The sequence below is a fragment of the Homo sapiens genome, chromosome 1 (genome assembly GCF_000001405.40).
Source record: "Homo sapiens chromosome 1, GRCh38.p14 Primary Assembly".
In the NCBI taxonomy this organism is placed as follows: Eukaryota; Metazoa; Chordata; class Mammalia; order Primates; family Hominidae; genus Homo; species Homo sapiens.
In genome coordinates this window covers 176,857,063-176,869,729 of record NC_000001.11, presented here as the reverse complement: position 1 = coordinate 176,869,729, position 12,667 = coordinate 176,857,063, and the positions used below count along the sequence as shown (strand labels likewise).

Here is a 12,667-nt window from a genome sequence, read left to right as displayed (position 1 = left end):
AATGCCCCATGGGAACACACTCAGACCAATCATGGATGGAAGCTGGAGATAAATTCTTTCCTTCTACCCCTGAATGACCCAGTGGCGATCCAGCAGTTCATACATCCTCTCCTGCAAAATGTAGCAGTCAGCTCATCAGGAAGGCATGGCCAGCTCCTTCATGCTCTCCCTTATATTTACTTTCTCTTCTTTCTTGCTTCATTTCCCTTTATCTTCGCTCCTGCTTCTCTGGGATTGCACTTTCCAAAAAAGTGTTAATATATGAGCTTTTTCCTCAAGCTAGGTCTTTTTAGAAAACCTGAGTAAAAGAAAGAATATTGTAACTGAAACAGACCTTAGAGAGAGTCTAGTCAAAGCCTTTTATTTTATAGAATAGAAAACTTAAGCCTGGTGGGGCAGACACAAAGTGAATTACTCAAATCACTTTCTTCAGGCCTTGGGTTCAATGCTCTTTCTGTAACAGCATACTCACACACACATAAGTAAACATGCATATATGTATATACATACACATTGACATACGCACATATATGTGTATGTATATACTATATGATATATATGCATATTATATATACATTATAAATGATCTACATATGTTTATATGTGATATGTCTATATGATATAGATCATATATAATGTGTGTATATATATACATTATTATATATATGTAAATAACTTATTTTCCTTTTCCTCCTTCCTCAGAAATAGCAGACAAGATCTACAATCTCTTCAATGGCTACACTAGTGGGAAGGAGCAGCAGACCGCCTACAACACCCTCCTGGATCTGGGTTCCCCCACCTTACACCGGGTCCTCTACCACTATAACCAGCACTATGAGAGTTTTGGGGAATTCACCTGGCGATGTGAGGATGAGTTAGGTCCCAGGTAATCAATAAACTAAGTCAACCCTTTTAAAGACTTCTTGAAATTTTGTACCTCTTGTGCCGTAATACTGCATCCATGAAGTTGTAGAGATTTCCTGGATGAGCTTAGGCAATCAGAGAAGTCAGTCCTCTGATTTAAGACAGTTCAGTCCATGCAGATTAGTTTTGGATAAGCTCTATTTAAGCAGTCCAGCCATGAATGCTTTTCCTGAACTCTGAAAAAAAATTTTGCTCTTGACCTATTTTGCCCTCCTTTTTTATCATGTTGACATTGCATTCCAAACCCTAAAACTCAAAGAGTCAAAAGCATGGTCTTGTGAAAGGAAATTTGGAATTTTATTAAAGAGGATATCTAAAAATTTTTTTTGCATTTAGGTTTTTCATATGTTACATCCATTGTAAATACTTATTTTGAATTAAATTCCACATCTCTTGAAATGCAACATGAGAGTAGCCAAAGACCCATCTTGACATCAATCTTGGCCGGAGCTAGGGTCGCATAGTGTGTGCTAACTTCTCTTGGCCCCAGGGGCCATGACTGCCTAATACCCACACCCACTGCTTTTAGGTTGCACAGACAGATTAGAGTGCTTGGAAAGTAAGAAATGAGAAGAATCTGCAGATGTATCACTTTTCTTTTGTTCTGTTAATCATAACTGTATATTGCTGCTTTGAGAAAACAGACTTCCCTGGAAAGACTGAAATTTTTGGATAGATATGATAAAAAGGATTTTCATATGGAATGTTGGTACCTATATGTCCCCAAATTATTTAGGTGCTCATGAAGAAAAAATAAAAATAGGGGAAGAGCTGTGAGAATAGAAAAAAGAATGAATGAGAAAGAAAATGAAGAAGGAAGGAAAAAATTTAAAAGGAAGGAAGGAAAGAAGGAAGCAAACAAGGAAGGAAGGAAGGAAGGAAGGAAATGAAGAAAATCAACACTATAGAATCCTCTGTCCCTTAAAGAATTCTTTCACTCCAGCCAACAGGGCAGAATGAAAGTACCATACAAAAGTCATCCCATCCATCTGACCTCTGACTAAACTGGAGAGAGAATCATCCTCATTTGGCCTGCTGTGACTTGCAGTTATAAACTTTCCCAGAAGACCATCATTGAGGACATTCTATTTTCTTACTTTTGAAGGAAAGAGGAAAATTAGGTTTATCTCCTGAAATAAAATGATTTTATGTGTAAGATCTGGCAGGGTTTTTCTACAATCCATAAATAATTTCCTGTTTATAAAGGGTGATAGTTCTTGGACAAAGAGAGCCACCACTACAGACCAGAGAGAAAAATGTAAGGGATTTTTAATTTGTTTTGTCTCAGTTTTGATAAGAGACAAACCCAGAGTTAGAAAGTAGATACATGTTAAGAAATATTGTCTTCACTTCATACTCTATCTTTATCTTTACCTTATTCTTACTCATTCCTAATATCAACTCCATTCTCTAACTGTCCTCTCCTCTCCACTCCCTTCTACCTCCCTCTCCACCCCCTCCTTTCCTCTCTGCTCCCCTCTCCCCTCTTCTTCTCCCTTCCCTTCTCTCTTCTGACATTTATTGAGTGTATATATACCGTTCTTTTTCAGGGAACATAAATGTCACAATTTGAAAGGCACTAACATTGCATATATCATCTTGATTTCTAAGGGCATTTGGAGTGCTTTTAAAATTTCTCTTTTGTGACTCAAGAGTCAGAAAGAAAATTGGTTAATGAAGAAAGTGAGCAGGGGAAGAAATGTAGATCTTGTTGTAAAGTAAGGCCACCGCTGACTGCACACTCTCCTCCCAGGAGGTTCCTTCATGTGTAATACTAGTCTTTCATGGCTATATATTAGAAAACATTGTGTAGTTTCATTAGTCTGCAGGAAATAAAATTTGGCTGTTTAGTGTCATGGATCTCAGAGAGAACCACAGGAAAGGAAAAATCCTCTGTGTTGAAATACATCAACCCACTTTGGGGTTAATTGTGAAGATGAGTAGAAAAGGGTCTATGGCTACTTACTTCCTCTGAGCAAACAGAGGATTCCCTCAGTTCACCACAACCCAATTTCATTAAAACTTGATGACGCCTCCAGATTGAGCTGAGGGTTGAAAATAGTTTGAGAAAAACATTGGTTGCACCACTAATTAGAAAGGAAGTCACAGGCTCCAAAATTAATTTGGCAATCCCAAATTAATTATTATTATTTAAAGTGAGCACTGAAAGCAGCAACGAAGGCTGTGTGGACTAATTTAATTCATTCTTTTGGAAGGATGATGTAAGTTCTTTGTTCATTTCTTGAAGATGATGCTGATGTTGTCCCTCCCTCTTCTGCCACTCCCTCTTTCTTCACCTCCCATGAACTTGTCAACAACTAATGGCATACAGTAGGACAGACTGAGAGGAAGGGACACCAGAGTTCTTGTTGATGACAACTTTTGGAAAACCTGCTTGGCCAAACTGCAGAGGCTCTTAGGGAAAGTACAGATCATCTGCCCCAGATGATTTAGTCAGCAGGCAGAGTGTTTGATTTCTTCTGACCCACCATTGAAGTTGGAGAAAATATGACTATCCCTCCCATGACCTCACTTTACTCTTAGCCCTTGACTTTGCTGCTGAAGCTCAAATCCTTCCTCCAGTGGCAATCTCTGCCCTTCTCCCAGCTCACCCTTTAGAAATGCAGGGAGGTCATCTCTTGATGATGCTCTCTGCCAGAACAGTAGAAGAGAAATGAAAGGAATGTGGCTATTGTTCTTTGAAACCTCCCTCTGAATAAGGTGAATAAAATTTCAGTTTCTGGAAGGAATTGTGATATGATTTGGCTGTGTCCCCACCCAAATCTCATCTTGAATTCTCATGTGTTGTGGGAGGGACCTCAGGGGAGGTAATTGAATCATGGGGGCAGGTCTTTTCAATGCTATCCTTGTGATAGTGAATAAGTCTCATGAGATCTGATGGTTTTAAAAATGGGAGTCTCCTTGCAAAAGCTCTCTTCTCTTGTCTGCTGCCATGTGAGATGTACCTTTCATCTTCCACCATGATTGTGAGGCTTCCCCAGCCATGTGGAACTGTAAGTCCAATTAAACCTTTCTTTTGTAAATTGCCCAGTCTCAGGTATGTCTTTCTCAGCAGCATGAAAACGGACTAATACAAATTGTTGATGGAACTAGAAAAGAGTGGTTCTGCCCATGAGTTAGACTAGCAGTCAATAAATGCTGCAAAGAATAGTGTTTATTGAGGTTTCCAAGTCAGTAGTCTTCATTGAGTTTTCCAAGTCACAAGACCTTGTTCAAATGAGAGTGTCTTCCTTCATGGGTCTCTGGTTACTTGCATTTTTAAAGAATAAGAAAAACACAACTGAATGAGAGGATCCTGATCTTTTACTCTTCCTGTATTCAGAGTCAAATCCAGTAGGTCTAAGAACTGGCTCTACACTTTCTTTATCTATGACACCAGAAGTGAGTGCCACTGGTCTGCACCAGTGACATGGTGTTGCCAGTCCTTTCCCCCAAGCTGGATGCCAGAGGCTCTCACACTCTGGCCCAGGGGGTTCACTCCTTTCCAGTGTGTACAACTTGGGGCACCTTGCTGTCCTCTCTCCCTTCTCTCTCAGGAATCTGCAATGGCTCAGGTGACCTTCATCACCTTCTCTGTTTTCCCTCTCCTTTGACTGGGGCTAAGTGACAATGATAATGGCCTCCTGACTTTCTGAGGGAGGTGGAGAAATGGAGCATGAGCTCACCTGGAGGTTAATCAGGTGATGTGTGCAACTGACAGTCTGCATATTCCCAAAGGCTAATCCTGTGTCAACATGAACTGAGGGCATTATTGTCCTTGCCTTTATTACACTATGGCTACTTCCATCCAGGCATAATTGGTCACATCTAATATCCTTTTCAGTTCAACATAACGGCTGCTTCTACCAGTTCAGAAGCGGCATTGGAAAGGGAAATATCCAGTCAAGCATATTATTTGTCATTTAGTGATGATAAATGACTAGCTTTAAAGAAACTTGATTTGATTTGTCTTTCAAACCTGCCAACTCTATGATTTTTAAAAGCCATGCATTTCCACTAAAATATTATGCATTTTGTCTGTTTCTTTTTGGTGCTTGCTCACTTTGAACATTTATCCAATTCATTCATTCATTCATTTATTCATTCATTTGCTTGACAGATATTTTTGGAGGACTCACTGTTCCAAGTGCCAAAGATAAAATAGGGAGCAAAACACACCACACTCTTCCCTCTTGAAGTTTAGAGTCTCACACTAACAGTAGCTGTGCTCATCCAGACCCTCTCTTCTTTCTAACTTAAGTATCCTCTGTGCTTGATCCATAGGAAAGCTGGTCTCATCCTTTCCCAGCTTGGGGACCTCAGCAGTTGGTGCAATGGACTCCTTCAGGAACCCAAGATAAGCTTGCGGCGCAGCTCACTCAAGTACCTGGGGTGCCGCTACAGCGAGATCAAACCCTACGGACTTGACTGGGCGGAGCTCAGCCGGGACCTCAGGAAGACGTGTGAGGAGCAGACCCTGAGTATCCCCTACAACGACTATGGGGACAGCAAAGAGATCTAGCACCATAAGGCCAGGGAGCTGCTGCCAGAATGAAGTAGGAAAGAGGAGGGATCCATCTGGGTTGGTCTGTGGATTTTTAATATTTTTTAATGGAACATGAAAACCTCCACAGCAACATCGAAACCAGGGAGAAAGTGATCCTTGCTCCCTGCAGAACTTCTTCAGTATGATGTTCTCCATCTGCATGATTGGGAAATCTGCCAGCCAGTGGCTTCATGCAGTGCCATATTTCTTTAGAGGATTACTTTGGGGTTTGCTTTGCCATTAATTTGTTCCATTCATTTTTTTTTCCCTGAGAAGTTTACCAAAATGCTCAAGAGCTCTGCCGTGCTCCCCATGAAAAGTCTATTAAGTAGGCACCCTGTGCTCACTCAGTTCCTAAATCCATTGCAACTGGGAGCAGAGGTGAGGCCAGAAAGTTGTTAGGCCTGCCGCAGGCCCCACCCTCAAGCATTCCTCAGGAAGCGTCTCACTCTGGGAGCCTTGGCCCTGCTCACAGAGAGAGACAATAGAAAATTGAGGAAGGTGGCCCTTGTCTGTGTCTCCTGGTTTTCTTCCTAGGCCTTGCTATCACTATTTCCATACCCGAAAGGTGAAACCAGCTTTCATTATAGGCCCCAGTGGGCCACTTGGGTTTTGAGATCCTTCCTTATTTTAAGCCAGGACTGGGATTAAATCTCCCTCTGTCAGATCTCTGTCCCTTCCTCTGAACAACATGATCTTTGAGAGGGAACAAGATGCCATCTGTCAACTGCACCTTCAGAAAAGTCTACCTGGGAGACTAGTTAGCAGTCCACATTCAAGAGGAGACTTGGAGTTTATTGTTTTTTAAAAAAACCATGCTTCCTTTGGATAGACTTCTCCAGCCTACCAATATATATCCATGTGCCTGGATTATCTTTAACCCCCACACCTCTTACCTTGGACAGGTAAGGCTTGGCCGATGTCTGATTGGGACCAGGAGGGGTCAACACTTTCATATCAGTGTTACAGTGAACTAAAGCTATTATTGATCACAAAAAACTTCTGTTCATCCCCACCTTGCTAAATTTGCTTGTGTTGCTAGTTTTGCAAATCGTTTCTCTGATGACCATAAGCAGGAGGATTCCACCATGGTCACTGCCCATCCAGTCACAGGGATTCTGTGTAGGGAAGCACCACTGATTGCAGTTAACATCTAGAGTGTTGTTTCCATCCCACTGCCCAAGCATTGGCATGGTCATGAATGGTGGCCCAGCCAACAGGAAGCCCAGCCTTTCAGAAAGAGCCTGGCAAGGCCCTGTTGACTAGCAATGGCCTTAGCTGTCCCACACAACTCAGTGGCCTGAACACACACCTTCAGCCACCATGCCTTTGACCAGGGCTCCTCATCTGGAAACATATGAGAAAGGTCAGCAAACAGATGCAAGACCTATAAGGCTAGTCATTGAGCTATATTGGTTTTTTTTCTAAATAGTAGTAGTGACAGATAACATTTATTGAGTGCTTGCTGTATGCCAGGCGCTGATGTAAGCACTTTAGGTATCATTGAATTCTCACAGCAACTCCTGAGGAAAGTGCTATTCTTGTCTCCATTTTAGTGTTGAGGAAAACGAGGCAAAGAGAGGTTATACAACTTGCCTCAAATCCCTTGTGCACTGTAACTCACACTGAGTTTCAGTGTGATTTCAGGCTGTTGGTCTCCAGGGCACAGGATCTTAGCTACTCTGGGATACCCAGTTCTGTTTTCAGTATCATCTGGCACACAACTGTCCAAGCTCTCAGCCCCACAGGGAACCTGCCCAGAGAGCTTTACCTTTCCCAAGCATCTGTGGCATGGACATGTCCTCTGTGCAGTGGAAGGAGGAGGGGCGAAAGTACGCCCTTAGCCTTTGGAGCTAGAGCACCCTTGGGACCCCTAGTTCCACTGCACATGGCCCTCCTCCCCACCCTCATGACTGGGAAGGAAGCCTGTGATGAGGCTGAGATAAAGCACAGGGTGGTTTCACTCTCCTCTCTCCTTCTTTCCAAACACTGAAGGATTTATTTCAAACTCTCTAATGCACCTGCCTCAGAGATTCCCCTACTTTCAAAGCAAAGATCAGCAGAAAAATTGGCTGTCCCACCTGTGGCAAATGCTGGAGCCTCAGTTAAAGTGCCTCAAGGGGCAAATATTTCACCATTGCCAGAGAAGATGTGACAGGCCAATCAGACAGGGCCCAGAGCATCTCTTTGCTGCTACTGTTTTGCCATCCTTCTATTCATATCTGTGCAGAACACGGTGTTTTAAGCTTGAGTGAAAGGAGGGTGAGGCTGCCGATGCCTTCCTGCCCAGAAGTGGATGATGTGGGAGTTGACAGGCCAGGGAGAGGGTGAAGCAGGTATCAGAGTCACTCCTCTGTACCCTCTCCTTCTGTTTTTATTTTAGGCACACTATCTTCCTCTCTCCTATCTTTCCCTCAGTCTCCCAAGTTCCTCTACCTTCTTTATCTTTGTCTTTTACTTCTTCTTTCTGTGACCCTCCTTTTTTGGCCTCCTCTTTCCCCAAGACTTTCTTCCTCCTGTTTCTCGTTGAGTTCTCCCCACTGAATGTGTGTATGTATGTACACACACACACACGTGTGCACACACAATGCACACAACTCCTATGACTGGCTCCTACTTACATTCAAGTTAAAAAGGCTGATATGAACAGGGCAGGGGAAAATCTTAGGATGGTTGTACAATTGACTGGAGGATTTTTTCCCCTTGGAAGACACTATTGATCTCAACCTGCTGACTTTTCCTAATGCTTACCTGAAGGAACCCATCCTGGCTAGAAAGGGTGATGGTACTGGACCGGTATTCAACCTTGAGTTTTCAAGCTGCCAAACAGGTCTTAAGGGAGGTGCTTATATCCCACCAACACTCTCCCAGCTCCCATGTCCCCAAGACCTCTGGAGTTTCCTCTTGAATGTACATGAACCACTGTAATAGCATTAGACTTTTAATTGAGTGTGCAATCGTTTTCCATGGAGTTTGGTCCGTTCATTATTTTTTAGTTAACTACACTTCTTGATATTCAAATGTTCTATTAAAAAAACTGAGTATGAAGAAAAACACTTTACTACTGCAGAAGGAAGAAAGAATATAATATGACCATCTTCAGGTATAACAGTGTTGTTTAAAAGAGAATTATTGTATGATTATAAAAGATGAAATAATTAACTGAATAATAAAACAAAGCTATTAGTAAGCATTGGGTATGTGGATGTTGTGTCTTTCAGTAATCTGAGTGAACTGGTTAGACTCATCAGGGAACTTGTTAAGGTTTTAAAGGTTACACTTCAGATTCCAGACATAATGGGCCTTATAGTCATCATTCTAACTGGAAAAAAAAAGAATCAAATATTTCATAGCAAATTATAAACTTATCATTAAATAATAGTAGTGAGTCCCATCTTCTCTCTACAACCTTCTCCAAATAAGTAGCCGGTGAAATGTATTTGTTGCACAGCTGCTATATTCTAGACACTACGAATGATGCAGAGGGTACAGGCTTGTTCTCTATCAGAGAGCGTGGCATCCTATGGGGAAAATTAGGCATTGAACTTGTCACCACAAGGGTGAGGAGGACTATGATAAAGAAGCACAGGATGCTATGAGAACTGCTGAAATTTATACTTTGGCCATTTAAGAAAAATGTTGAAGAAAAATGTTGCAAAAGGCCCTCCCAGACACATTCCTGTCTTGCACTGTGTAGGAGCATTTGAGGAAGACTGACTTATGAAATGCTTCATGGTGGGTAGCCCAAAATACGTAATCTCTTTCTTTCTCTCTACAATGCCACTTTAAATAGAGATTATCTCAGCTACCATCAAAATATGTGATTCTATTTAAATTCTTCAACAATCAGGTGGTAAGTGCCTGGACTTAATAGGTCCTCTTGAAAAGTAATGATCAGAATCCAAGTCCCTGCCCAAGCAGGGGCAATTAAAAGAAGATGATGACTGTAGCAGTTTTAAAACATGGCCACAGATTCTTTGACACCCCTCCCATATAAAGTGTGATCTACTGCCTCTCCCTTTGGATCTGGGCAGGTTTATAACTATTTTGGCCAACAGATGGTAATGGAAGTGACACTATGTGACTTTCAAGCCTAAGTCGTAAAAGGCCTTAGGGCTTCTGCCTGCTTCTCTGGAACTCTTGCTCTCGGAGCTCTGAGCCACCACCTAAGAAATTCAAGGCCACTGTGCTGAGACCACCAAGCTGGAGTGGTCACATGGCAGCACTCTGGTCCACAGTCCCAGCTCAGATAACCATGCCAAAGAACCAAACAGGTGAATGAAGCTGTATTGAGACCCCAAGACTGGTGGTATCCTAGTTGCATACCACCAAGCAACCTCCACCAATACCACATGAAAGAGAATAATCACCCTGCAAGCTCCTCCTGAATATCTGTCCCCCTCACCAAATTATGTAACATAATAAAATGGTTATTGCCTTAAGCCACTAAGGATTTTGTTTGTTTGCTTGTTTGTGAGACGGAGTTTTGCTCTTGTTGTCAAAGCTGGAGTGCAATGGCACGATCTTGGCTCACTGCAACCTCCACCTCCCAGGTTCAAGTGATTCTCCTGCCTCAGCCTCCCAAGTATCTGGGTTTACAGGTGCCTGCCACACTGCCTGGCTAATTTTTTTTGTATTTTCAGTAGAGACAGGGTTCCGCCCTGTTAGGCTGGTCTCGAACTCCTGACCTCAGGTGATCCACCTGCCTTGGCCTCCCAAAATGCTGGGATTACAGGTGTGAACCACTGTGCCCGGCCAGGGGTCTTTTAAATAAAAATAATCCAGTCAGGGGTCAACAGTGCCTTTCCATCCACTCAGTGACAGAATATTTAGGTAAGCCCTGCCCTGGGCATGAATTCACTGTGGAAAGGAGATGAGAACTTATGGAGGCTGGGCTACATCCACAATGTCCCCATCACCAATGAAGTGGGTCTCTGCCTCCATGGAGGGGAGCAAGAAGAAGGGTGGGGCACTGTATCCTAATACTTCTGAGGGGGTAAACCTTAGAGCCCAGATAGGAATTCCAGGAGAAGAAGAGAATTGTTCCAGAGCTGGGAAAAGAAAGACAGAGAAGGGAGTGGACAATTTGGGACAAGGAAAAAACATTGGAAGAGAAGGGTTTCTTCCAATTTTACTTTGTTTTTCTGTCCCTTTGTATTTGGAACTTTTTGGATGCAAATGTGCATACCCCATACTTATTATGTGCCAGGCACTGTGCTAAACACTTGAACTGCATAATATTCATCAATCTTCATTGCAAGTCTGAAGTAAATACTCTTAAGAAAGAAGAAGCAGAGTCTCAGTATCTTTATATATCTTGCCCAAGTTCACAGTTAAATGGAAGTCCAGTCATTTTGACCAAGGGCTGTCTGACACAAACCCTTACACTATACTGCCATCATGATTAATGAGTTTGCTTCTCTAACAAGGGAAAGACTCGTCCCACTGAGATTTTTGCAAGTCACAGCCCAGTTACCCCATGTCAGACAATAAGAGAGAGTGTGGTTGGCCAGTGCAAACCCAGTAATGCCTTTAGGAAATCAACTTAGGGCACATAGATTACCTTCACAAGCTGAGCAGATTGTCTATTCTTGTTTGTTTAGTTGTTTAGCTTGGTTTGGGTTTTTTATTTTATTTTCCGTCTGTCACGTGAGGATGATTCAGAGCCAAGAAATTGTGACTCTCACTCCGTATGTTCAATGTTGCCTTTTACTATGCTTTAATGGTTCTTTTTGTGCCAGTCTCTGTTTTCTGCATGCATCCATGGTAACACTCAATGCTTGGGTGAGAACTTGGGGAACAAATGCCTACTGCCCTGAGGACAGCATAGCTTGATATGTTTTGATAACCTAATGCCTCCTAACCCTGCTCCCACCAGCAACTCCTATTTTATTGTCACATCAAGTGAGCAGTTAATGAGCAGTTTGATTTCAAATGAAACCTCAACATTATATAATAAAATTTTACAATTTCTGTGGACATATGTGGGAGTCCAGGACTTGGCTCATGTCTGCACTATTCCAAAGTGAGAAAATAAATAAATAAAACTCTTTGTTCTGGTAGTTTGCAGTGTCTGCTGTAATTGGATTGATTCCCCTAGAGACAGGTTTTGACATCATGTTTCTTCACCAAATCTGCCTTTTGTTAGAGTCTATGATATGCTTGCTCACATGGGAGTACAAATTAGTGTAATGGATTCCTTACTATCTTTCTCAGTGGGAGAACTTTAGCCATATTTTGTGCTTAATAATTAGGAGCAACTTCCTTTGTTTCAAATAATTCAAATGTCAAGTGCCCCTGAGGCTATTGGTGTCCAATGAGTCAGGCAGTGTTCTCTGAAATACCAACTTAGAGATGAAACCGACTCACGCCCTGTCCCTGTGGTTTGGAAGGACTTAAGTGCCCACAGATAAAACTAAGGCTGAATGTGCCTTACATGCCGTTTTGTCCTGATGACCACTGAAAATAACAGTAAAGCACATACTCCTAATCAGCCACTGCCTCTTTGTTCTCACATCCATTTTCCAACCTTCCACTGTTCTGTTCTGTATCACATAGTGCTGACTCTTATAAACTATTGAAACTTTTCCCACACTCCTTTGTCAACAGGCTTCCAGCGTGTTGGGACAGTCAGAGGAGTTGTAGATGATTGGAGGAAAGGAAGAAGACGGCAGCCAGGGTATTTCCCCTTCTCCCTGCCTCAGATGGCATCTCCAGCATCTCCTTCATGACCTCTGTCTCCTCCGTGTGACCTTCCATCCCCTCAAAGCAGGAGCTGCGCCCTGATGTTGCTAATCTGATAGGTTGCTCCTATTTGTCCTTCTATAATCCCAAAGTCTTCCTAATTGGTTTCTCATCTTGAACTTCCTCTGTGGAATTACCTAAAATGTATTTTGCTTTCCTGACTAGGTCTTGATTAATATATACTTCAAACTAAAAGTTAGTACATATCGTCTGACATAGAAATTTTGTAACTCTTTAGGATTTGAAAAACAATCTGGAAGATAACAATTTTATGCCAAAAGTAAGTACATTTTTATGAATTCTAAGATTGATTGCAGGGGTGACAAATAGGTTTCCACTTGAGTGCTAAATTTGATCAAGCAGCAGTGGCTGCCTGGAAAACTGACTTGAAAAAGATTCTGAGAATGGATCTGTACCTGGCCAGAAAGAGTGATGAGATGCATGATCAATACT

General features: G+C 42.2%; 1 protein-coding gene across 5 annotated transcripts in view; it reads left to right on the top strand.

The window, feature by feature from the left end:
- ASTN1 (astrotactin 1) overlaps positions 1–12,409 on the top strand; it is a 307,392-nt gene extending 294,983 nt beyond the window's left edge. For 2 of the 5 annotated variants that reach the window (NM_001286164.2, XM_017001341.3), the window contains exons 22-23: positions 703–886; positions 12,080–12,409. In NM_001286164.2, the coding sequence (NP_001273093.1) occupies positions 703–886; positions 12,080–12,119 (224 nt within the window). In that variant the 3' untranslated portion in view covers positions 12,120–12,409. Of the gene's footprint in view, positions 1–702; positions 918–5,208; positions 8,664–12,079 lie in introns of those variants that run through there. The other 3 variants (NM_004319.3, NM_001364856.2, NM_207108.3) reach the window with 2 other exon arrangements.
- Positions 12,410–12,667: the final 258 nt, after the last annotated feature.